This window comes from Homo sapiens, chromosome 19 (assembly GCF_000001405.40).
Source record: "Homo sapiens chromosome 19, GRCh38.p14 Primary Assembly".
NCBI lineage: Eukaryota > Metazoa > Chordata > Mammalia > Primates > Hominidae > Homo > Homo sapiens.
In genome coordinates, this window is record NC_000019.10 from 48,020,266 (window position 1) to 48,045,901 (window position 25,636).

General features: G+C 46.9%; 2 protein-coding genes across 4 annotated transcripts in view; one reads left to right on the top strand and one right to left on the bottom strand.

Moving 5' to 3' along the window:
* The window catches only part of ELSPBP1 (epididymal sperm binding protein 1), a 30,523-nt gene extending 25,634 nt beyond the window's left edge, over positions 1-4,889 (top strand). For 2 of the 3 annotated variants that reach the window (NM_022142.5, XM_017027130.2), the window contains exons 6-7: positions 1,905-2,069; positions 4,687-4,889. In NM_022142.5, the coding sequence (NP_071425.3) occupies positions 1,905-2,062 (158 nt within the window). In that variant the 3' untranslated portion in view covers positions 2,063-2,069; positions 4,687-4,889. Of the gene's footprint in view, positions 1-1,904; positions 2,112-4,686 lie in introns of those variants that run through there. The other variant, XM_047439213.1, reaches the window with a different exon arrangement.
* Positions 4,890-9,117: 4,228 nt separating this feature from the next.
* CABP5 (calcium binding protein 5) lies at positions 9,118-23,814 on the bottom strand. The gene is made up of 6 exons (NM_019855.5): positions 23,595-23,814; positions 21,308-21,338; positions 20,340-20,483; positions 18,943-19,052; positions 13,950-14,097; positions 9,118-10,317 (listed from the first exon to the last, which is right to left on the bottom strand). Exons 1-6 carry the CDS (start codon positions 23,655-23,657, stop codon positions 10,292-10,294), a joined length of 522 nt encoding a protein of 173 aa, NP_062829.1. The 5' UTR covers positions 23,658-23,814; the 3' UTR covers positions 9,118-10,291.

The following is a 25,636-nucleotide window of genomic DNA, read 5'->3' on the forward strand; positions in this document are numbered from 1 at the left end:
GTGATCACACCTCTGTACTCCAGCCTGGGTGACAGAGTGAGACCTTGCGTCTAAAATAAATAAATAAGCAAACAGTGAAATCACCCAACAAAAGGCTCAAACATTTGGAAAACATAATACTATACTGCTAAAGTGCACCTGTTCACAGTACAAGAGCTGAAGTGAGCCAAAAGAGCATCCCCTTGTTCCCCCTTGGGTGAGAACATGTGTGTTGGGAGACTCAGACTCAAATTTCCTCTCCTGTGTGTGTCCACAAATGACCACAGAAGCGTCATGAGTGTCGATTTCATCAGTGACAAAGTTTAGCGAGTTGACGCATTTGCACCTGTGGAATCCATGAAAGATGAGGACACTGGAATTAGTCCTCTGAGACAAATCCTCCATCCACCAGGTGCTCCTGGTGACCAGCATTCTCCTTCTCCCTCCTTCCTCCAGGGCCCTCTGTGCTTCCACTCTGCCCTTCTTCCCTATTCCAGTGCCTGCCCTATCTTCCAGCCTTTCTCATGTCCTACACTCTTGATAGCTTCTGAGGGAAGAAAATACCCAAGACCCAGTGGAAAGGAAAGGGAAGTCCTTGGGCAAAGAGGAACTAGAAGGAGTTATATTTCTGCGCCACTCCGGGCAAGGGGTCAGTCCGAATAGCTGTGGGTGGGGGGGTGTGTTGTTCCAACAACTTGGGACTTTCCTAAATAAAATAAATTATTTCTCAGCTGGTCATGGGAGATGTGACAGCAAAAATTGAGACCCATTTACCCTCTGTTGCCTCAAGCTGCTGTGGATAGAGGCTTCCAGTTTGTACTATTTATGGGGTCATCTTTCATGAGGACATCATTTACGTCCTCATCTTTCATGGATTCCACAGGTGCAAATGTGCCTACTCGCTAAACTTTGTCACTCAGAAAATTGATACTTGTGGTGCTTCTGTGGTCATTTGTGGACACACACAGAGTTAGGAAGTTTGAGTTTGAGTCTCCCAACACTCATGTTCTCAGCCAAGGGGGAACAAGGGGGTGCTCTTTCGGCTCATTTCAGCTCTTGTACTGTGAACAAAATTCTTCTTTGGCTTAGGTTTAGGTCGGCATTCTGAGCAGTGCCCAGGCAGTGTCTTCATGTGTAGGGTTTACCCAGATTTTATTTTTTAGTTTTTTTTTTTTTTTACTTTTTATATTTTGTTTTATTTTATTTTATTTTTGAGACGGAATCTCACTCTGTCGCCCAGGCTGGAGTGCAGTGGCGTGATCTCGGCTCACTGCAACCTCCGCCTCCTGGGTTCAAGCGATTCTTCTGCCTCAGCCTCCCAAGTAGCTGGGATTACAGGCGCTTGGCACCACACCTAGCTAATTTTTGTATATATGTATTTTTTTAGTAGAGATGGGGTTTCACCACGTTGGCCAGGCTGGTCTCAAACTCCTGACCTCAAGTCATCTGCCTGCCTCAGCCTCCCAAAGTGTTGGGATTACAGGCATGAGCCACAAAGCGCAGCCACATTTTATATTTTAGAGACCGGATCTCCATCTGTCACCTAGGCTACAGTGCAGTGGTGCAATCATGGCTCAATGCCGCCTCGACCTCCCAGGCTCCAGCAATCCTCCTGCCTCAACCTCCCGAGTAGCTGGGACTACAGGCATACACCACACCCAACTAATTAAAAAAATTTTTTTTGTAGGGACGGGGTTTCACTATGTTGCCCAGGCTGGTATTGAACTCCTGGCTTCACATGATCCTCCTGGCTCAGCCTCACAACTGAGCTGGGATTAAATGCGCGCGATTAAATGCTGGGATTAAAGGCGCGAACCACCACACTCAGCCCCAATTTGAAATCTAGGGTGGGCCTGAAGCCCACGCCTCTACGACAGTGTGAAGCCTGAGGAGTAACCTTTGTTTTATCCCCTTCTGCTTCCTAGGAATTTCCGCGTTGGTCCCTGGCTTTCCTTGTCACTTTCCGTTCAACTATAAAAACAAGAATTATTTTAACTGCACTAACGAAGGATCAAAGGAGAACCTTGTGTGGTGTGCAACTTCTTACAACTACGACCAAGACCACACCTGGGTGTATTGCTGATGCTGAGGTGAGAGCAGGGACCAACAGTGGTCATTTCACGGATGCAGAGGTGAGACAGGTGCACAACTGGTGTGTCACTGATGCGAAGGCGAGATCTGCTTTTTCAAGCGTGTCTGATTAGCGTCGCTGATGTGAAGGCGAGATCTGTTGCTTTTCCAGCATGTCTGATTAGCTGAGGTTCCCAGCAATGCGGGCTCCTGTTGTCAAAGATAAGGTGGAGTTGGGGAAGACTGGAACAACTCCCCAGATTAGAAGGATGAAAGAAATTGGGATTTCCCCCAGAAGCAGGAGAGCAGAGGGGGATTGGCAAACTTTTTCAGACCCAGGAAGGTATCATTCCAAGTTTCAAGTCTGGGAGGCTTTGGCTGTTGATGATTAGAAAAGTGGAATTTCTCAAAGTGGAGCATGGTATGAAAAAACAACCCAGAAAAGGGGATAACTGACCAGCTGTGGTGACTCACACCTGTAATCCTAGTGCTTTGGGAGGCCAAGGCAGGAGGATCAGTTGAGGCCAGGAGTTTGAGACCACCCTGGGCAATGTAGCAAGACCCTGTCTCTACAAAAAAAAAAAAAATTAGTTGGGTGTGATAGCACACATCTGTAGTCCCAGCTACTCAGGAGGCTGAGGTCAGAGGATCCCTTGAACTCAGGAGTTGCAGTGAGCTATGATTACACCACTGTACCCCAGCCTGGGGAACAGAGTGAGACCTTGTCTAAGAAAGAAAAAGAGAAAGATGGACGAAAGGAAGGAAAGAAGGAAGAAAGATGAAGGAAGGAAGGAAAGAGAGAGGGAGGAAAAGAGAGAGGAAGGGAAGAAAGGAGGGAGGGAGGGAAGGAAGGAGGAAGGGAGGGAAGAAAGAACGGAGGGGAAAGGAAGGAAGGAGGGAAGGAAGGAGGGAGGGAAGGAAGAAAGAGGAAAGAAAGGAGGTAGAGAGAGGGAGGAAAGAAGAAAGGAGGGAGGAAAGGAAGGAAGGAGAGAAGAAAGGAAGGAGAGAGGGAAAGAAGGAAGGGAGGGAGGAAGGAAAGAAGGAAGGGAGGAAGGAAGAGAGGAAAGGAGGGAGGAGGGAGGGAGGAAGTGAGGGAGGAGGGAGGGAGGGAAGGAGGAAGGGAGAAAGTAGGAAAGGGAGGAGGGAAGGAATGGAGGAAGGGAGGAGGGAAGGGAGGGAGGGAAGGAAAAGAGGAAGGAAATAAGGAAGGAAGGGAGGAAGGAAAGAAGGAAGAAAAGGGAAGGGAAAGGAAGGGAAGGAAGGGAGGGAGGAAGGAAGGAAGGGAGGGAGGGAGGGAAGAAAGGGAAGGAGGGAAGGAAGCAAGGAAAGGAAGGATAACCCAGAAGCCAAGACACCATGGTGTGCATCCATTGCCCCCATCACTGAGTAGCTGACCAAGGGAAAAATGGGGTTTATTTCTCTTCCTTCACCATTTGGGCCTCCTGCCCCACCTCAGCCCGCTGGTCATCAAGTACCTCCACAGAACCAACTTTATCCCTCTTTTCTTTTTTTCTTTTTTCTTTCTTCTTTCTTTATTTTTTTCTTTTTCTTTATTTTATTTATTTATTTTTTTTGAGACGGGGTCTCACTCTGTCGCCCAGGCTGGAGTGCAGTGGTGCAATCTCAGCTCACTGCAGCCTCTGCCTCCTGGGTTCAAGAAATTCTCCCACCTCAGCCTCCTGAGTAGCTGGGATTACAGGGGTGTGCCACCATGCCCAGCAATTTTTTTTTTTTTTTTTTTGTATTTTTAGTAGAGACGGGGTTTCACCATGTTGGCCAGGCTGGTCTCAAACTCCTGACCTCAGGTGATCCATCCAACTCGGCCTCCCAAAGTGCTGGGATTACAGGCGTGAGTCACTGTACCTGGCCTATCCCTCCTTTTCTTCTAGTCTTTTCCTCTCTCTACATTCTTCACAAAGGACCAGCTGATTGAAGCAGGTGGTGCAGAGGGTATTTCTAAAGGTGGTTATTTAAGCTTGAAAGATGTTCTCCAGCCTGTAGAAATGGTCTCTAAATCTCCCGCATGGATCAACTGACCTCACTGCTCTGTGACTTCTGGAATCTAAATAAAAAAAGAGAAGCCCTTTCATCAGATGTGTAGACAAAACCCCATCCCTCCTCCCTTTGGGGTGGAAAACCCTGGTGGTTCTAGCAATGTCTGTCCTTACAATGCATGTGGCTTATGGATGACACTAAATTAGCGGGCCCTTCCTGAATTTTGCCTTGGTAATGAAAATCATCTTCCTGGAATAGAGGAGAGGGAAAGGAGGGGGTTTGGAACTCTGGGCACCATCTTAACAGGGTAGATATTAAAAAACACCCACAGTGGCGTTCAGTCTGTGGCTAGGACTAGGAACAGCGTCCAGCCTCTGACTTCTGTCCATCACAGCAGAACTGGCACTTTGCAGGTCCCCTTCCCCTTAGCATAGAGGTGAGATTGAGGAGCTCATTGTTCATTGATCTCCTTGCTCCTATGAGCTAGGCAGGGATGTGGGGGTGGGGGCGTCTGATTCCTCTCAGCTCAGCTGCTTCCGACTAAGTCTGGAAAACCAATACAAAGTCATTTTTAATTCACCTTCCTCTTTGAGTCAATGCCTACTTATTCATTAAACTCAGATCTTTGCTTCTATTTTCAAGGAAAGGAGAAATATCTTCAGAGGAAGACTGCCGCCATACTGAGGCTGAGCACAGATTTGTCTTTTTCATTGCATCTGTCAAGCTTAAATAACCACCTTTAGAAATACCCTCTGCACCACCTGCTTCAATCAGCTGGTCCTTTGTGAAGAACGTAGAGAGAATGCGGCATAACCACCAATAAAGGAGTCTTGATTTAACCCTGGGATCTGCCTTTTCTGCTTCCTAAGATGAGACCGATGGTGAATGTGTGGGGAAGGAAAGATTGGTAGCCAGGCTGTCGAGTCTCATAGTGTGGAGAGGTCAGACTCTCAGGCCAGGGACCTCTAGGAGTCATTACAGCCTGCTCTGTCTTCTGAGGGAAATCACAGATTTGGGTGGGGTGTTTGTAGATACATATTAAATTATTAATGAATAAATTAGGAAGTAAACAGAGGGTAGAAAATTCACCACAAGACTGCCTCAACCATTCCCTCCCTGTGCCCATGGCAGATATCAAGAACTGATTACAGAATCTGATTCCCTCTCAGCCCAGATGGAAATTCACATTGTTGTTCTTGTTCTTTCTTCTTCTTCCTTTCACTCTTCTTCTCCCTCTCCTCCTCCTCCATCTTCTCCTCCTTCTCCTCCATGTCTCCTCTTACTCCTCTCCTACTCCCTCTTGTCCTCCTTCTTCTACTCCTCCCTCTTCTCCTCCTCCCTCTCCACCTCCTTCTCCTCCTCCCTCTCCTTCTCCTCCTCCTTCTCCTCCTCCCTCTCCTTCTCCTTTTCCCTCTTCACCTCCTCCTTCTCCTCCTCCCTCTCCTTCTCCCTCTCCTCCTCCTCCCCCCGCCTCCGTGTCTTCCTTGTGCTGGAATTCTCTTACCCCTTGTCTTCCTGCAGTCTCCTCCTCCCTTCACTCATTGTCCGTGGAATTGCCCCTGTGATGGAGATAGACGTGGGCTTCCTAGATCCCCCTTCAAGAAAGGACTTGCTGCCCAGCTCCAGTGAGTGCTGTCTGCAGGCAGCCTTTGGTGTTCAGCCCAAATCAGAGATGGTCTCAGCTTCAAAATGGCCTCCCTCGCCCAAACCATGCCCTTCCCAGGGTAGGCCACAACTAACGAATGACCAATGCTGGGTTTAAAGGCCTGGCTATTCCAGTCCAAGTGAGATAACTCAAAAAGAGCTACATCCAGAGCTCCCGTCTGTTCCGCTGAGGTTGTAGAGCCTGCACCGTGGCTCAACCTCTCCCTCTGTCCAATCCCAGTTCCTTCCCTTCCCTTCCATAACTGATCCCAAGGAAACTCCCTGATAAGCCTCCTGCCTGCTGTCTCTGCTCTTGGACAGAGGAGGAGCCCTGGGGAACCCAACCTGAGACAGCTCATCTTTAAGAGATGCCCATTCTGGCAGGGCATGGTGACTCATGCCTGTAACCCCAGCACTTTGGGAGGCCAAGGCAGGAGGATCACTGGAGGCCAGGAGTTTGAGACCAGCTTGGGCAACATAGCAACACTCTATCTCCACAAAAAAATACAAAAATCAGCTGGGTTTGGTGGCTCACACCTGTAGTTCCAGCTACTTGGGAGACTAAGGCAGGAGGATTGCTTTAGTCCAGGAGTTTGAGGCTGCAGTGAGCTGTGATTGCACCACTGCACTCCAGCCTGGGTGACAGAGCAAGACTCTGTCTGAAGAAAAAAATAGAGAGATGTCCCTTCTGACCACTCTGATTAAGCCCCTTCCCCAAATTATCTTTGTATCCAACCATCCCAATTTATCCTCAAAGTATTTGTCCCAATCTGAGCTGCTTCTGATGGATTTAATTTTTTACTCCCCTGGCACTGGAATGTAGCCTGCAAGAAACCAAAAGACCTTATTGCTGGGCACATTCCAGGACCTAGAATAATCCCAGGCATATAACATGAAATTGTGATGTCCAATATAGTAGCCACTAGCCATAAGGAGCTAGTTACATTTAACTTAAGTAATTAATAACATTCCTTACCGATATGGTTTGGCTATGTCCCCAACCAAATCTCATCTTGAATGATAGCTCCCACAATTCTCATTCCATCTACACATTCACCCATCTTCCCCTTCATTTCTTCAGTCACCCATTCAAAAAAGATTTTCTAAGTACCTGGTCTATGCCTGGCATTGTTCCAGGTAATGGAAATAGAGCAAGGACAAGGTATTTGGCCTCAACAAGCTTATATTTTGAAACATGCAATTCAATAGAATCTTCTGCGAGGATGGAAATATGGTTTGGCCATGTCCCCACCCAAATCTCATCTTGAATTGTAGCTCCCATAATTCCCATGTTACCTATTGATGTGGTTTGGCTGTGTCCCCACCCAAATCTCATCTTGAATCATAGCTCCCGTAATTCCCACATGTTGTGGGAGAAACCTGGTGGAAGATAATGGAATTATGGGGGAAGTTTCCTTCATACTGTTCTCATGGTAGTGAATAAGTCTCACAAGAGCTGATGGTTTTATAGGGGGAAACCCCTTTCTCTTGGCTCTTATTCTATCTTGCCTGCTGCTGTGTAAGACGTGCCTTTCACCTTCCGCCATGATTGTGAGGCCTCCCCAGCCACGTGGAACTGTGAGGCCATTATACCTTTTTTTCTTTTTCTTTTTCTTTTTTTTTTTTTTTGAGATGGAGTTTTGCTCTTTCACTCAGGCTGGAGTGAAGTGGCATGATCTCGGCTCACTGCAACCTCCACCCCCTCAAGTTCAAGTGATTCTCCTGCCTCAGCCTCCTGAGTAGCTGGGATTACAGGCATGCACCACCACACCCGGCTAATTTTTTTATTTTTAGTAGAGATAGGGTTTCACCATGTTGATCAGGTTGGTCTTGACCTCCTGACCTGAGATGATCCACCCACCTCGGCCTCTGAAAGTGCTAGGATTACAAGCATGAGCCACCATGCCTGGCCTCTTTTTCTTTATAAATTATCCAGTCTCGGGTATGTCTTTATCAGCATCATGAAAACAGACTAATGCACTTATGTATTCATTAATAAAACTGTTCTCACTTGATAAAAATAAAATAAAATTTAGTTTCTCAGCCTTGCTCACACATTTAATACTCAGTAGTCACATGTGGCTACCATAATAAACAGCGCGGGTCTGGAATATTTCTATCCTCGCAGAAGATTCTATTGAATTGCATGGTTCTAAAATATGAGACTGTTGAGGCCAAATACCTTGTCCTTGCTCTATTTCCATTACCTGAAACAATGTCAGGCATAGACCAGGTACTTAGAAAATCTTTTTTGAATGGGTGACTGAAGAAATGAAGGGGCGGATGGGTGCATGTGTGGATGGAATGGGATGGAGCTGAGGAAAGAGCTTGAGATTAGGAAATAACATTATTCTGCTTCCACTTTTTCTTTTTTAGAGACAGGGACTCACTCTGTCACCCAGGCTGAGTGCAGGGTGCCATCTTGGTTCACTGTAACCTTGACTTCTGAGTTCAAGCTTTCCTCCTGCCTCAGTCTCTTGAGTAGCTGGGATCACAGGCACACACTGCCATGCCTGGCTATTTTTTTTTTCTTTTCTTTCTTTCTTTTTTTTTTTTTTTTTTTTTGTAGAGATAGGGTCTCATGTTGCCAGGCTGGTTGTGAACTCCCAGCCTCAAGTGACCCTCCCTCCTCGGCTTCCCCAAGGGCTCCACTTTTTCTTAATTTTTTTATTTTATAAAACAAAGCTATTGGCTGGGTGTGGTGGCTCACACCTGTAATCTCAGCACTTTGGGGGAGCTGAAAAGGGTGGATAGCTTGAGCCCAGGAGTTTGCAACCAGCCTGGGCAACATGGCAAAACCCTGTCTTTACAAAAAAAAAAATACAAAAATTAACCAGGCATGGTGGCATGCACCTATGGTCCCAGCTGAGGAGGGTGAGGCTGAGGTGGGTGGATGGCTTGAGCCCGGGAGGTAGACGTTGCAGTGAGGTGAGATCACTCCAGCCTGGACAACAGAGTGAGACCCTGTCTCAAAAATAAATACATAAATAGGCTGGGTGCAGTGGCTCACGTCTGTAATCTTAGCACTTTGGGAGGCTGAGGCAGGCAGATCACATGAGGTCAGTTCAAGACAGCCTGGCCAACATGGTGAAACCCCATCTCTACTTAAAAAAAAAAAAAAATTAGCTAGGCATAGTGGCACACGAGTGCACGCCTGTAATCCCAGCTACTCTGGAGGCTGAGGCGTAAGAATCGCTTGAACCCAGAAGGCGGAGGTTGCAGTGAGCCGAATTCGCGCCACTGCACTCCAGTCTGGGTGACAGAGTGAGACTCTGTCTCAAAAATAAATAAATAAATGCATGCATACATACATAATACATAAATACAAAAATAAAATAAAATAAAATAAAACAAAGCTATTGAACCAGATGACTCATTTTAAACATCTAATTCATGGACTTCAAAGCAAGAAAAAGTTGGAGGAAGGCATGAAGTTAATTCTTTATTTTGACTTTTATTTTAACCTTTGCATTGCTGGAGTGTCTTGCTTTGGGCGGAGGTCAGGAGGAATCTCTCTTTTCTGTTTCATGGCACAGATCGATGTCAGGACGTGAGGGACGGAACAGACGACCCATCTAACAGAGACACAGCCTCTGGGTGGTCCAGGACAGACCAGCGCGGAGGTAGGAGGCTTCTAGGAAAGACTTTGCAACAACCTGGCTGAACTGGGGATTTGGGGGATCCTGTCATCTCTCTCTTTGCATGATGACATTTTTTCAGGGGATTAATTCCCCAAGGATCAGCTAGCTCTAAACCTTGATAATCCAGATTTGTGGTTTAATTCAGTCCCCTGAGTATCTTACACAAAGGAAGGGATGTGGGAGGGGAGACAGAGACAGACAGACAGAGAGAGAGAGAGAGAGAGAGAGAGAGAGAGAGAGAGAAACCAGACAGTGCTTCCAGGAAATCAGGAAAAGGAAGGAGTTGACTTTGAATGCCACTTGCACGAGCCATTTCCAAGCCCAGCCTCAACAACAACTCTGTTTCCAGCTCTGTGACTGATTTGCATCCTTTTTATTTCATTTTGTATTTCTATAGATTTAGGGAGTACAAGTGCGGTTTTGTTACATGGATATATTGCGTAGTGGTGAAGTCTGGGCTGTTCATGTAACCATCACCTGAATAAAGTATAATTTGTCCCCTTACCGGGAGAGAGAAACGGGATTTGCAACAGTTGATGCAGGCAGGGGAAGAGTAGAGACTACGTTCTGAACCTTTTGATACCCAACAGGAGAAGAGACTATTTTCACCCAAGGGGAAGCTGGGGAAGAGACTCTGGCAGGTCACAGGGACTTAGGACTACGTGAAGTGAAAAGATGTCAAGAATCATTGGAATTTTTGGGGGTGGCAACTGGACCCTCCCACGCTTCCTATTTCCATCCACAGACTCTTCCTTCTTAATCTAGTTCTGCAGACGCCCCCATCCTGGCAAAGATACCGCTCTGGGTCTCACCCCATGCACAGCGCCGCATGCCAATGCCCTCCCTCCCGCCTGCCCTCCCTCTCTGCTTTAAGGGGATCTGGGGCTTTTGGGCTTTGGTTCTCCACAAGCGCTTGCTCCATGTTGACCAGGTGGAGAGGGTCTGGAGCTTCCAGGACCTCCTCAGCGAGACATCATCTTCACAAACTCTGCAAAGAAAAAAAAAAATCCCCAGTAAGGCATCTCGTTGTAAAAGCCCCCAACATTATTTTTTGAGCCCTTCCTATGTGGCAGGCACTGCTGGTGATCCCTGGGAAATTACTTAATCCCTCTATGCTTCCATTTCTCCATCTATGAAATGGGAATCAGATCTCTGTGGCAAGTTACTTAACCCTGTGCCTCAGTTTCTCATCTGTCAAGTTGGCATGTTTAATAGATCTACCTCATGAGGTTGAGATAAAATTGGCTTACAGGCTGGGCTCGGTGGCTCACGCCTGTAATCCCAGAACTTTGGGAGGCCGAGGTGGGCAGATCGCTTGAGCCCAGGAGTTCGAGACCAGCCTGGGCAACATAGCGACACCCCCAACTCTACAAAAAAATTAAAAAATTAAATAGGTAAATAAAATTTGCTCAGAACCGTGCCTGCCATCACAGTCACCCCATGTAAACTACTGTGGTTATTATTATGCTCCTACTTCTGAAAGACTAATTTCAGTATGTTGCAGTTTCTTCATTTCTGTTATGAAAATAATCTTGCATGTAAATAAAACATTAAATTTAAAAAATGGGAATCCTAGTATTGCTATTTCCTTATATGGTTTTTAAGACCATTAATGGCATAATGCTCACAAAACAGATTAAGTATCCCATAAACAGCTATTGTTGGCCGGGCGCGGTGGCTCATAACTGTAATCCCAGCACTTTGGGACGTCAGGGAGGGTGGATCACTTGAGGTCAAGAGTTTGAGACTGGCCTGGCTAACATGGTGAAACCCCGTCTCTACTAAAAATACAAAAATTAGCTAGGCGTGGTGGCGGGCGCCTGTAATCCCAGCTACTCCACAGGCTGAGGCAGGAGAATTGCTTGAACCCAGGAGGTGGAGGTTGCAGTGAGCCAAGGTTGCACCACTGTAGTGCAGCCTGGGTGACGGAGTGAGACTCCATCTAAAAAACAAAACCCAAAAAACCTGTGATTGTCACTATGAGATTTCATCATCTCAACCATCCTGGAGGGATAAGTGTCACTTTACAGATAAGGAAACTTACGCCAGCGAGGGTCACCAACATACCTGAGGCCACGTGGATAGTGAATGGTGAACCCTGGAAGGAATGCAGGTTGCACCTGACTTTGCTGTGGCTCAAGACGATCTTGCTGCCCACCCGGGTCTTGAGGTCATCCTGACCTTCCCTTGCCTTTGGTTGGCCTGAGGATCATCTCCCACCCCCACCCCACCTTCTCCAGATGTCACTTGATGTCCACTGCACACCTAATCCTGGCTAGATCTAGCAGGTGTCCAACCAGCCTCTACTGTGTTTCCATACTGGGACATACAGCATATATGGTTTAGAGAATGGCCCTTCCTCCTCTCTATCTAGGATGGAGGCCTTGGAAGCTAATACAACTCAACACAGCAAGGTCTGCTGTGATAACTTCCATGGAGAGGAACAGAAAAACTTCTGTAAGACTTCACAGCTGGGAGGAAGACATGAGGGAAGGATGGAGAGAAGCTTCCTGACAAAGGTTGCCTTGATGTGAGTTCCTGAGGGATGGATGAGACTGAAAGATGTGGTAAGTGGACGGAGCATCTGATGCCTAGGAACGGAGGTTGGAGAACATAAAGCAGGCACCAAGTTTGTGCCAGAACTTAAAAGTTCAGAGAATAGCTACAGAAGATACAGGCTGGGTGGGTGGGCGAGGCCAGATGATGGATAGACTTGCATATCAGACAAATAATTTTGGACTTTTTTTTTTTTTTTCTGGAGACGGAGTCTCGCTCTGTCACCCAGGCTGGAGTGCAGTGGGGCGATCTCACTGCAACCTCCGCCTCCCAAGTTCAAGCAATTCTCCTGCCTCAGCCTCCCAAGTAGCTGGGACTACAGGCACATGCCACCACCCCTGGCTAACTTTTTGTATTTCAGTAGAGATGGGTTTCACGGTGTTGCCCAGTCTGGTCTTGAACTCCTGAGCTCAGGCAATCTGCCTGCCTTAGCTTCACAAAGTGCTAGGATTACAGGTGTGAGCCACGCGCCTGGCCTTTTTTTCTTTTTTTCTTTTTTTGAGATGGAGTCTCACTGTTGCCCGGGCTGGAGTGCAGTGGTGTGACCTCGGCTCACTGCAGCCTCCACCTCCTGGGTTCAAGCAATTCTCCTGCCTCAGCCCCCGTATAGCCTGGGACTACAGGCGTGCACTGTCACTCCTAGCTAATTTGTATATTTTTAGTAGAGATGGGGTTTCACCACGTTGGCCCCCCTGGTCTCGAACTCCTGACCTCAGGTGATCCGCCAACCTTGGCTTCCCAAAGTGCTGAAATTACAGGCATGAGCCACTGAGCCCGGCCAGAATTTTGGATTTTTGTCCATAAGCAGCAGATAGGTGCTGAGATCTTTGAACCAAAGAATGTCACAATTAGAACTTGACATGCTTTTTTTTTTTTTTTTTTGGACGGAGTGTTGCTCTGGAGTGCAATGGCGCGATCTCAGCTCACTGCAACCTCCGCCCCCAGCGTTCTAGCAATTCTCCTGTCTCAGCCTCCCAAGTAGCTGGGATTACAGGCACCTGCCACCACTTCCGGCTAATTTTTTTGTATTCGTAGTAGAGACAGGATTTCGCCATGTTGGCCAGGCTGGTCTCAAACTACTAACCTCAGGTGATCCACTCGCCTCGGCCTCCCAAAGTGCTGGGATTACAGGCGTGAGCCACCATGTCCGGCCGACATGCCTTCCTATGCCTCACATAAAAAAGAACCCCACGTCTCATCCATGTAGAACCCCAATCCTTTTCACTTATTCAGTGATCCAATATACTCATGCTGGGCTCAGTGCTAGGATTTGGGGATATAGTGATGATGAAGGAATTGGTCCATGGTCTCAGAAGGAAATAGGCAATAAACTCTAGAGATGCCACGAATCCGTATTACTGCAGAAGCAAGCGGGAGGTATTACTGGGGAGCCAGCAGAGGGACACGGAGCCCAGTAAGAGAGGTGGGAGGTACCTTCCAGGAACATAACTAGGAGTTAGCCAGGGGAGAGGGGAAAGGGTATTCCAGACGGAAGGACAACTTGAGCAAAGACAGGGAAGGAAAATTTAAAAATACAGTGGTGCTTTGTGCATGATTTCTTTTAGTTTTCTCCAAAAGGTGTCATCATCCACCTCATTTTACAGATGGGAAAACTGACCCTTAAAGAGAAAAAGGGAGTAGCATAAGCCACATGCTGAGTCAGCGATGATCCTGAATTTGAAGCCCCTGAACCTGACCCCAGAGCTCCAGCTGCTAGCCAGTCCAGTCTCTTTCTGATGGGACAAGTTCTTCCTAGGATAAAAGGTGCCCTGCAAACTAACAAGGAATGGGCAAGGCGGAAGGGCGTCCTGAGCATGGGAAGGAAAGGGCCTTGGCTGAGGTGTTCCTCGGAGCCACCAGAAGTGAGCGACACCCAGCTCTTTGAAATGAATAGCCTGGGAAGAAAGGGACAGAACAAATGCTTCCAAAACCTGCCACCCGCTTCCATTCTCAAACTTGGAGAGGAGTGAGAAGGAGTGGCCAACTTGGAAAATCTGACAGTGAGTTGGAAGTGGATTCCTGCGGTGGCTGCCCCCGCTCCCCACCACGCCCCGTCAATGTCACCTTCAAAGTCAACTGTGCCGTCTCCATTAACATCAGCCTCCCGGACAACCTCAGAGATCTCCCGGGGGGTGAGCCGCTCCCCCAGGAGTCTCTGCATGGCCTGCTGTAGCTCCACCAGGGTGATCTCCCCATCTCCATTCGTGTCAAACTGAATAGAAGCAGAAATAGATTATATCAGCAATGACAATGATGATAGCCACGAGATGATGGAGTTTACCTATCGCTTACTGTGGGTCAAGCACTGAGATAAAAGCTTTGGGAATGTGAGCCACTAGAACGTCAGCTCCAAAAGACAGTTTTGTTCTGTTTTTTTTTTTCTTTTTTTCTTTCTTTTTTTTTTTTTTTTTATTTGAGACAGTCTCACCCTGTCACCCAGGCTGAAGTGCAGTGGTGCAATCTCAGCTCACTGCAGCCTTCACCTCCTGGATTCAAGCGATTCTCGTCCCTCAGCCTCCCGAGTAGCTGGGATTACAGGCGCGCACCACCAAACCTGTTTAATATTTGTATTTTTAGTAGAGACAGGGTTTCACCATGTTGGCCAGGCTGATCTTGAACTCCTGACCTCAGTTGATCCACCTGCCTCAGCCTCCTAAAGTGCTGAGATTACAGGCTTGAGCCACTGTGCCCGGCCGAAACTTTTTTTTAATGAGACGGGGTCTCACTATTTTGGCCAGGTTGGTCTTAAAATCTTGGCCTTAAGCAACCCTTCCACCTTGTCCTTCCAAAGTGCTAGGCTTACAGTCCTGAGCCAAAGTGCCCAGCGATACATTTAAAACTTACTTTTTAGGTGATTTTTGAAACATACATTATTATTTACTATAGTTATCCTGCTGTGCAATAGATCTCAAAAGTTATTCCTCCTGTCTAACCAAAACTTTGTACCCTTTGACAAGCAACTGTCCATTCCTTCTCTGTGGCTCCCCAGCCTCTGCTAACCACCTTTCTTTTTATTTGCATGAGTTCAATTTTTTAAGATTCTGCATGTAACATCATGTGGTATTTGTCCTTTTGTGCCTGGCTTATATAGCTTAGAATAATGTGCTTCATGTTTATTCATGTTGTTGTAAATGATAGAGTTTCCTTCTTTTTAAAAGCTGAATATGCCGGACTCAGTGGCTCATGCCTGTAATCCCAGCACTTTGGGAGGCCAAGGCGGGTGGATCACCTGAGGTCAGGAGTTCGAGACCAGCCTGACCAACATGGAGAAACTCCGTCTTTACTAAAAATACAAAATTAGCCAGGCGTGGTGGCGCATGCCTGTAGTCCCGGCTACTCGAGAGGCTGAGGCAGGAGAATCGCTTGAACCTGGGAGGTGGAGGTTGTGGTGAGCCAAGATTGTGCCATTCTACTCCAGCCTGGGCAACAAGAGCAAAACTGTCTCAAAAAAAGAGAAAGAAAATTTTAAATGACCCATGCTGCTTACATTGTATTTATTTTGGATGACACAGCTGTAGGCTGAGGAAGCTGCAAGTTAACAAGTGCCGTAAGGCAGGAAGGTGTACTTGAGGAAGAGGCAGAAGTGGGGAGTGTTTAGGGAGGCGTGAGCTGGGGAGAAATGAGCATGAAATAGACAAGGTCTCAGTGTTGCAGAAGGCAGGGCCCAAGTACGTAGGGGCTTGTGTGTCATGGGACGTTGTCAGGATTTGGTTCTGAGTAAGACAAGAAGCCACTGGAGAATTTTAAGCAGGGGAGTGACCAGATCTGATATACATTTTAAAAGAATGTGAGCATGAAACCCTGTTGTGTAGAGAACAGACCACAGTAGGACCACGATGGGAGCCAGGAAACCAATTAGAGGGCCGCCATGATCATCCTGGTAGGAGATGGTTGTGGTTTGAGCCAGTTAGCACCAGCAGAGCTCAAGAAGGAGAGTTCACTCCCCGATGTTTTGGAAATTGAACGTACTAGACTTTCTGGTAGACTAGTTAAGGGTGTGCAGGGCAGAGCTTTGGAGGCAGTTCATTAATTCAACACATATGTATCCATATTGCTAAAAAAAAATGTGTCAGTAGTGCCCATGTGGAAGGCACCGTTCTTGGGACTGAGCACGGAGCAGCAAGCAAGACACTTAGAAATACTTGTCTTCTGTACCTGGCTTATTTCACCCAGCATACTGTCCTCCAGGTTCATTTGTGTTGTTGTGTGGGGCAGGATTTCCTTCTTTTGTAAGGCTGAATATTGCATTTAAATATATACCACGCAGAAGGAGAAATACTGCATGATTCCACTTACATATGAAGTACTTAAAATAACCACACTCATAGAAGCAGAGAGTAGAAGGATAGTTGCTGGGGGTTAGGAGGACAGGGAAATGGGGAGATATTGTACCATGGGTATAAAGTTTCAGTTACGCAAGATAGGTTCTAGAGATCTGCTGTGTGGCATTGTGCCTATAATTAATAATACTGCATAATGACAAATATTGCTTTTAATGGCAAAATCACAATTACTTTTGCATCAATCTAATAACTATGGGCAAAAGACGTGAACAGCCATCTCTCTAAAGAGGACAAATGGGCAAAAGACGTGAACAGCCATCTCTCTAAAGAAGACAAATGGGCAAAAGACGTGAACAGCTATCTCTCTAAAGAAGACAGACAAATGGCAAACAAGTTCGTGAAAAAAATGCTCAGCATCACTAATCATTTGGGAAATTTAAATTAAAACCACAATGAAATATCACCTCACATCTGTTAGGATGGCTACTGTTAAAAAGATGAATAATAACAAGTGTTGGTGAGGATGTGGATAAAAGGGAACCCTGGTACACTTTTGCTGGGTATGGAAATTAGCACAGCTATTATGGAAAATGGTATGGAGGTTCCTTAGAAAATTAAACCTAGAGCTGCCATATGACCCAGCAATACCACTTCTGGGTATGTATCTAAAGTAATTGAAATCAGTATATCAAAGGGATGTTTGCACTCCCCTGCTCATGGCAGCACTATTCACAATAGCCAAGGTATGGAAGCAACCTGTGTCCATCAAAACAGAAGAGTGGATAAAGAAAACATGGCATAAGTACACAATGGAATACTATTCAGCTTTTTTTTTTTTTTTTTTTTTTTTTTGAGGTGGAGTTTCGCTCTTTTTACCCAGGCTGGAGTGCAGTGGTGCGATCTTGGCTCACTGCAACCTCTGCCTCCCGGGTTCAAGCGATTCTTCTGCCTCAGCCTCCTGAGTACTTGGGATTACACGCATGTACCACCACGCCTAGCTAATTTTGTATTTTTAGTAGAGACGGGGTTTCTCCATGTTGGTCAGGCTGGTCTCAAACTCCCGACCTCAGGTGATCCACCCACCTCAGCCTCCCAAAGTGCTGGGATTACAGGCATGAGCCACTGCACCTGGCCTTAAAATTTTCTAGTAGTGACGTTTAAAAAAATGTTAAAAGGAACAAATGAAACTAATTTTTAATATTCTCTTTTATTTGACACAATATATCTAAAGTGTTATCCTTTCATCATGTAATCCACTTAAAAATTATTAATTTAGCTATGTAAGTAGCATTCTTTTTATACACACTGGATTTCATAAGGCAGTAAGTTCTAAGTTCTTAGTAGGTGCTTAGCATGCTTAATTAGGATACTTAGCCTAGAAGTTTACTTAAGTATACAAGTACGTTATGCTAATTATATTAGCATACTAAGTCTTAATACAGTGTTCACGTTACACTTACAGCACTTCTCAATCCAGACAACTTTTTCTTTTTGTTTTGAGATGGAGTTTCACTCTTATAACCCAGGCTGGAATGCAATGGTGCGATCTCAGCTCACTGCAACCTCTGCCTCCCAGGTTCAAGCAATTCCCTGCCTCAGCCTCCCAAGTAGCTGGGATTACAGGCGCCCACCACCATGTCTGGCTAAATTTTTTTGCATTTTTAGTAGAGACGGGGTTTCAGCATCTTGGCCAGGCTGGTCTTAAAGTCCTGACCTTGTGATCCACCTGCATCGGCCTCCCAAAGTGCTGGGATTATGGGTGTGAGCCACTGAGCCCGGCCAGCTGTAGATCTTTATAAGAAGCTGGGGGAGGCACTTGCACAGCCAATAGGTGGAGGCCTCCTAGGATTTGAACCCATGTTTGCCTGGTTCCAAATCCTTTGCTCCCAAACACTCTACTACTCTTTATTTTCACCTTGTGTTGCTGAAAGCTCTCAGAACGAGAAGGTATTTTATCAGGGGATATAAGCAAGTCTGTTATTCTCACTGGGTCTGATATTTTTTAGTATGTCTGCAGCAAGTGGTTCGTACCAGATGACCACTTTGCATTCCCTTCTGGGATCTCAAATTCTTGGATTCTTCCTGTTACAGGCACTAAGAATAGAGGCCCTGGCCAGGCACGGTGGCTCATGCCTGTAATCCCAGCACTTTGGGAGACCGAGGCAGGTGGATCACTTGAGGTCAGGAGTTCGAGACCAGCCTGGTCAACATGGTGAAACCCCGTCTCTACGAAAAATACAAAAATTAGCTGGGTGTGGTATCGCGCACCTGTAATCCCAGTTACTTAGGAGGCTGAGACAGGAGACTGGCTTGAACCCGGGAGGCAGAGGTTGTAGTGAGCCGAGATTGCACCATTGCACTCCAGCCTGGGGACAACAGTGAAACCCCGTCTCAAAAAAAAAAAGTCCTAACATTTATTCTAGAGATGGCAGGATCTTGGATAAGATTTATAATCTTCATGAGCCTCACTTTTCTCATCTGTTTAATTGGGATACATGACTGCTTGCTTACTCCTAATGTGTTTGTGTGCGTGTTTTTGTTTTTGTTTGTTTGTTTTTTTGAGGATTAAATCAGATAAAGTATACAGAGGCATTGATCCATTGCAGGTGTTTGGAATACGTTATTTTTCTTCCCTATTTATTGATCCCACCATGGCTGGAAAAAAAAAGGTGGGGGCCTGGTTGGTGGGTGCTGTCCATGGCATTGGCTAATTACAGGCAGACCTCAGAGGGTCTGCCTCTACCATCACCAGCACCATGACACTGTTAACTCACCTCCTTGAAGGCATCCCGCATCTCCTGGACACCGATCATCCCAGCTGTTTCTGCAAGCAATTTGGGGGTCATCAGCTCCACAAAGTCATCAAAGTCTACACGGCCACCCACTGAGGAAGATGGCACAGGATTAGCGAGACCCCACAAGCCCTGGCCTTCCATTACCTCACTTTGTGCTTCGAGTCAGTTAGATCAGCTCCCTTCTCCCTGCCCTATAAGAGCCGTCTTTGACTTCCTCCCTCCAGCAGCTAACTCCAAGCTCCAAACTCATGTCCCTCTAGCCTGAACAGGAGTGGATAGGGTGTGGTATGGTGGAAGTAACTGCCTGTGTGACTTTCAGACAGTTGGTTAAGATGTTTCTCCTCCTCTGTAGACCTGTACAAAGAGGAGCATGAATTAAATGAGCATACAATTTTTTTTTCAGATATGAATACTATCATTACCTTGAATTCAACCTTGTTTAGTTCGTTACATGCCCAGAAGCAAACCCAATAGCTTTTTTTTTTTTTTTTTTTTTTTTTTTTGAGACAGAGTCCCACTCTGTTGCCAAGGCTGGAGTGCAATGGTGCGATCTCGGCTCACTGCAACCTCTGCCTCCCGGGTTCAAGCGATTCTCGTACCTTAGCCTCCCGAGTAGCTGGGATTACAGGTGCACGCCATCACGCCTGGCTAATTTTTTGTATTTTTAGTAGAGACGGGGTGTCACCATGTTGCCCATGCTGTTCACAAACCCCTAACCTCAGGTGATCTGCCCACCTCAGCCTCCCAGAGTGCTGGAATTACAGGTTACAGGTGTGAGACACTGCGCCCAGCCTCAATAGGAATTTTATTCTAGCTAAAATCTAAAAATCAGTTATGATCTCCATCCAAAAATCCATCCATCCTTTTTGCAGCTGTATTCACCAACATTAGCTCCAGCTCCAAGTTTGTTTCCAACATCCAATACAGCTCCAATCTCGTGCTCCACTGATGAATCTTAGTGGTGATAGTAATAACTACCTTTAATAAGAATTTACTGGAGGCTAAGACTTTAACTGCATCAGCATCTTTATCTCTTCCTTCTCTTCCTTTCCACAGTCCCATGAGGTAAGGAGAGAGGCATCTTCCTCTATAGATGAGGAAATGGAAACTGAAGAGTAGCGGATAACTTCACTTTTCAAAATGACTGTAATTAGTAAATAATAGAACTGAGATTTGAACCCAGACCTATCTCTAAAAGCTTTTAACCACTTCAAATGCTGCCTTCCTGAGTCGAATCTGACCTGTTTTCTTCCAGACTTCTAGTCCCTCTCATCCTCCTCTCCACCCCCAACTCTACTCTTAACCTCTACATCCTTCCCAATTCTGCCCTGATCCCTTCCCTAACCCCGGCCATCCCTCCCATTCCCTGGACTCACGGTTCATGCGGATTTGCTGGCCGAGCTCAATCAGTTCCATCTCCGTGGGCATGTAACCCATCGTCCTCATGAGATTCCCCAGATCCTTACAAGAGATGAACCCATCTCGGTCCTTATCGAACTCAAGAAATGCTTCCCGCAGCTCTGAAAGTTAAGAGAGAACTTTGGGGGAACTTGAAGCAGTCAGTGGGGAAGAGTGGCATCTCTTGAAGCTATCAATGAGGCTCCAACTAGAGACTCCTTAAAGGAGCGTACATTAGAAACAAAACAAAACAAAACAAAAAAACCAAGGCCGGATGTGGTGGCTCATGGCTGTAATCCCAGCACTTTGGGAGGTCGAGGTGGGTGGATCACCTGAGGTGAGGAGTTTGAGGCCAGACTGACCAACATGGCAGAACCCCATCTCTACTAAATACAAAAAAATTAGCTGGGCATGGTGGCTCATGCCTTTGATCCCAGCTACTAGGGAGGCTGCCTCAGCCAAGGCAGAAGAATCGCTTGAACCTGGGAGGCGGAGGTAGCAGTGAGAGGAGATCGTGCCATTGCACTCCAGCCTGGCAACAAGAGCAAAACTCTGTCTCAAAAAAGAAAAAAAAATTCAAAAAGGAGTGATGTATGAAATGTGTTAGCAAAAGAGGCATCATTCCTGAGACCACTAAATGAGAGCACTGGCGTCCTTCAGATTCCTGGATGAAGTTATGGGGAACCTCAAAGTCACCAAGAGAGAAACTCATTTGTTTTCACTCCTGAGTCTTGGAGATACTTGAGGATGGATATGCCTTCGAAATACTTTGGGAAGTCCTTCAACTGCCACGAGAAAGAGTTCTACAAAATTACAGTTGAGTGGGAAGAGAGAGGGATTGTAAAAATTCCATGTAATGGAATTTATACGGAAATGCACAAAGGGACTGAGGGCAGGTCAGGTGGGTGGATGGCAACGTGGAAGCAACTGGGGAAGACGGTGTTACCTTCAATCTCATCTTGTCCCAGTGGTCTTTCCTGGAAAGGAATGCAGATGAGAGGGAATTTGGAGAGAGGGTCACCCATTCTCCAAAGGGTCTCCTTGTTCTCCCAAGCTCCTCCCCACGCTCTCGTGGTTCTCTTTCCATTCTCTCTCTCCTCCTCCATCCCTCCCATTCCTTTTCCCATCTCCTGACTCCTGTTCCACAGTTCTTGGCTCCCCACCCCCCTCTCGATGTCTCTCTCCCACCCACGAATCCCAATCTCCCTTTTTCTCCCTTTCTGAGACAAACACCCATCACATTGTGTCAAAGGGGGTCTTAAACACTGGGGAGTCCAATCTCCAGATGAAAAAAGTGAGACTTCACAACCACAGCTAACTCATTCAGAGTGGTGACTCTGTGCCAGGCAGTTTCCACAATCATTTCATTTAAACCTCAGTACTGCTCTGTGATGCAGATCTACATCTCGTTTCCATCTTACCCATGAGAAAGCTGAGGAACAGAGAGGTTAAGGAACCTGCACAAGGTCACACAGCTCACAAGCAGCAGATCCCCTCCCAAGGGAGGAAGGCATTCACCTGCTCCCTGGAGGTCATGGGGCAAGTCAGACACAGTATTGGGATTTGAATTCAGGGCTCCTGACTCCCAAGTCAGAATTCTTCACACTAGCCCCCATTCACTCCTTTCTCACCTGCCTCCAATCTTCCTGCCAAAGGTTAGAATCTCTGTGCATGGAAACAGCATTCAATGGCTTTCAGGCAGGAGGGTCAGTGCCAGCATGACCAGTTCCTAAACACTCTGAGAATGTCCAGTTATTGCTGCCCCACCTACTCCTGCACATACCTGAAGGGTTGGGCTTACATATACATGGCATGTTAACAAGGAAATTCTACTGACCTCTGGTCTCTTTAGCCTTCCCATCTCCCTTTATCCCTGGAGCCTTTCCCTCAGCTTCTCTTTCATCTGATCCCCTCCTTGCGGTCCCTTATCACCCTTTTTTTCATTCTCTCTCTCTTTTTTTTTTTTGAGACACAGTCTCGCTCTGTCACCCAAGCTGGAGTGCAGTGGCACGAACTCGGCTCACTGCAACCTCTGCCTCCCGGGTTCAAGCGATTCTCCTGCCTCAGCCTCCCGAGTAGCTGGGATTACAGGCGCCTGCCACTGCACCCGGCTAATTTTTGTATTTCTAATAGAGACAGGGTTTCACCATCTTGGCCAGGCTGGTCTTGACCTCCTGACCTCGTGATCCACCTGCTTTGGCCTCCCAAAGGGCTGGGATCACAGGCGTGAGCCACTGCCTGGCCTTTTTTATTCTCTTTTTTTGGTGATCTTAAAGCCTAACAATGAAAAGTATGCCCACATATCTGGACAAGTTGGTATATATGGAAAAATAAAAAAATTTTAAAAAGCATGCCCACAGGAATCAAGCAAACCCGACCCTGCCACTTACTTTTTTTTAACGAGACAAAGTCTCACTTTGTTGCCCAGGCTGGAGTGCAGTGGCATAATCAGGGCTCACTGCAGCCTCCACTTCCTGGGCTCAAGCGATCCTCCTGCCTCAGCCACCTGAGTAGCTGGGACTGCAGATGCATGCCACCATGCTGAGCTATTTTTTTGTATTTTTAGTAGAGATGGGGTCTTGTGTTTCCCAGGCTGGTCTCAAACTCCTGGACATAAGTGATCCTCCCGCCTCTGCCTCCCAAGATGCTGCGATTCAGGCATGAGCCACTATACTTGGCCGACCCTGCCACTTACTAACTGTGTAAGCTTAAGGCAAATGACTTCATGACTCAGAGCTTCACTTTCCTCACCTGTAAAATGGGAATGAAAGTCACTGACCTCATGAGTTGTTCTGAGGTGTAAATAACATCAGGTGTGCAAATCCCTTTGCACAGGGCTGGGCACAGAACAATGACTTAATAAGTGGCAGCTATTGTTATTAACGTCATCATTATCATCACCACCACCACCATCATCACCACCATTATCACAATGAGCATCCATAGAAAAGAATGATGGTAATCTCAACAATGACATCATCCCACTTTCCCTTTTCATTTTTCTTCCTTTTCTCTCCTTCTCTTTGCTCCTGACTTTTGATTTTACCCCCACCCATTTATCTCACTGGCTTACATGACCCCACCAGGGTCCTTGGAATTTCTTATACCTTCTCAGCTCCTGCTCTATCCACCTGTTCCCCTGGTTCTGTGGCACCATCATGTCCCCTTCTTTGTCCCACACCCCTGCTCCCTTTGCCCCGCCCACCGCCCTTCCCCCTCACTCCCCACCTCACCCGCTGTTTCTCAGCAATGCCTTTCCTCAAGAAGATGCAGGCGGGGCCCATGGGGAACTGCATGGAGGGGTGGGGTGGAGCTCGCAGGGCACCAGTCTCAAGATGGCCCCTCCTCCCTGCTCCCTGTCGGAGCTCAGCCTCCTTATCTTCTCCAGCACTCCTTTGCCACCTCTTCCTGCCTCTCTTGGCTTCTCCTTCGGTCCCGGTGTCTTAGAGCTGTGACAGCTGGGCTGGAAATCTCTACCCGGGTTGGGGAGGGACCAGAGCTGTCCCTGCCTCCCCATCTGGCTTGAATGATATGGGTGGGGAAATGCAGAGTCAGGTTCTGTGACGCCTTTATCCCCAGAGTGGAATTGGAAAGTGCATTTTATAAATGGGGATTAGAGGCTGGATGTGGTGCTCATGTCTGTAGTCCCAGCGCTTTGGGAGGCTGAGGTGGGAGGATTGCTTGAGCCCAGGAGTTTGAGACCAGCTGAGCAACATACGGAGAGGCTGTCTTTACAAAAAATAAAAAAATTAGCCGTGCATGGTGGCACACACCTGTAGTCCCAGCTGCTCCAAAGGCAGAGATGGGAGGATTGCTTGAGCCCAGGAGTTCAAGGCTGCAGTGAGCTATGATTGTACCATTGCACTCCAGGCTGCAGTGAACTACGATTGCACCATTGTACTCCAGCCTGGCTGACATAGTGAGACCCTGTCTCGAAAAAAAGAAAAAAAAAGAAAAAAAAGAAAAGAAAATGGAGGATTAGAGCAGACGGCATCATTTATTCAATGTTCCAACAAGCATGTGAAGGGTCACTCCAACACTGGCCTCTGGGCAGTGAGATGGAGAGCTCAGCACCCCTGGCCTCAGGGAGTTTTCCTGGGTGAGTCGGGAATGTGTGAGAGTGAGCAGGATGCAAGCATGGACTTCAGGAAGTGGGCGTACACGGTGACTAAGAGCATGGCATTTGCTCTTCCTCTGTTCATCTCTTTCCTTCTGTCTTTCCTGAATGATTTAGAGGGAAAAAGCAAGGTGGGGGTGTCAGGGAGGGTGTGAAGTTATGGTGGTGTCAAAGCCCAAAGGGGTTTTGCGACTCCACACTAGGTAGGGTTAGGGGAGGAGGGGGCTGGGGGCCATCTGGCGTGGAGAGCCAGCATTCCAGTGGGGTAGTGGGGTGAGGAGAAGTCCACATAGAGGGGCAGCATGACCCAGGGTGTTGGGGCTGGAGATGGTGGGGATAAATCCACAGATGGGCAGCTTGGTGTGCAGTGTTGGAACATGAGCTGAGTGGGGCGGGGGCATTTATATGCAGGCATTGTCTGGGGTGGAGGTTTGCACTGTAAGGCAATTAGGAAGGAGGCCACATAGAGGGGATCTGGCATGGGTTGTCATAACCCAAGCAGAGAGAGAAATGTCCACTCATGGGAATAGCATGGTGTATGGTGTTGAAGCCAGACTAGGCTGGGAAAGACATCCCCACAGGGGTGAAATGGCAAAGGAAAAGGGAAATTGGCTACACACAGTGAGTAAGGGGAATGGGGGCCAGGTCTCCTACTGTTGGAAAAGGGAGTTACTAAGACAGAAAGGAGGAAAGTCGAATGAGCCCTGTGGTGTTGGACTATAACTGGAGGCGTTGGTATGTCCTCATGGATCTCAATTATACATAGAGAGATAAAAATAAACACATAGTTTCAGTGTGTATAGGAACATTTGTACACATATTCTCTAGCTCTCTCCACTAAGAGAACATAGAAACAATGATGGCCCATATGAATGAGCACCACTAGCATCCAAATCTTGACTTCTATATACCATTCTCCACCAAATGGAACCAGAGTGCCTAGGAAATTTGGCTGATTCCATGTCTAGAGCAAAAAAAGAACAAGATGAGCCTACAAACGTCCTATGCTTAAAGCAAGAAATTGCTCAAAGTGTTGTGAGAACATGTGGAAAGAACACAGGAGTCTGCTTGAAGAAGCTCCATTGGCCATACTGGGCAGTTTGAGAGTCAAAATAAATAATGATAGTAACAAATTATACAGGACCACAGAAGAAACCA

Coding starts and splice junctions, on each gene's coding strand:
- CABP5 (NM_019855.5), bottom strand. CDS start 23,657: ATGCAGTTCCCCATGGGCCCCGCCTGCATCTTCTTGAGGAAAGGCATT. Junction 21,339..23,594: donor GCATTGCTGAGAAACAGCGG/GTGAGGTGGGGA, acceptor ATTCCTTTCCAG/GAAAGACCACTGGGACAAGA. Junction 10,318..13,949: donor CGGCACAGTTGACTTTGAAG/GTGACATTGACG, acceptor TTTTCTTTGCAG/AGTTTGTGAAGATGATGTCT.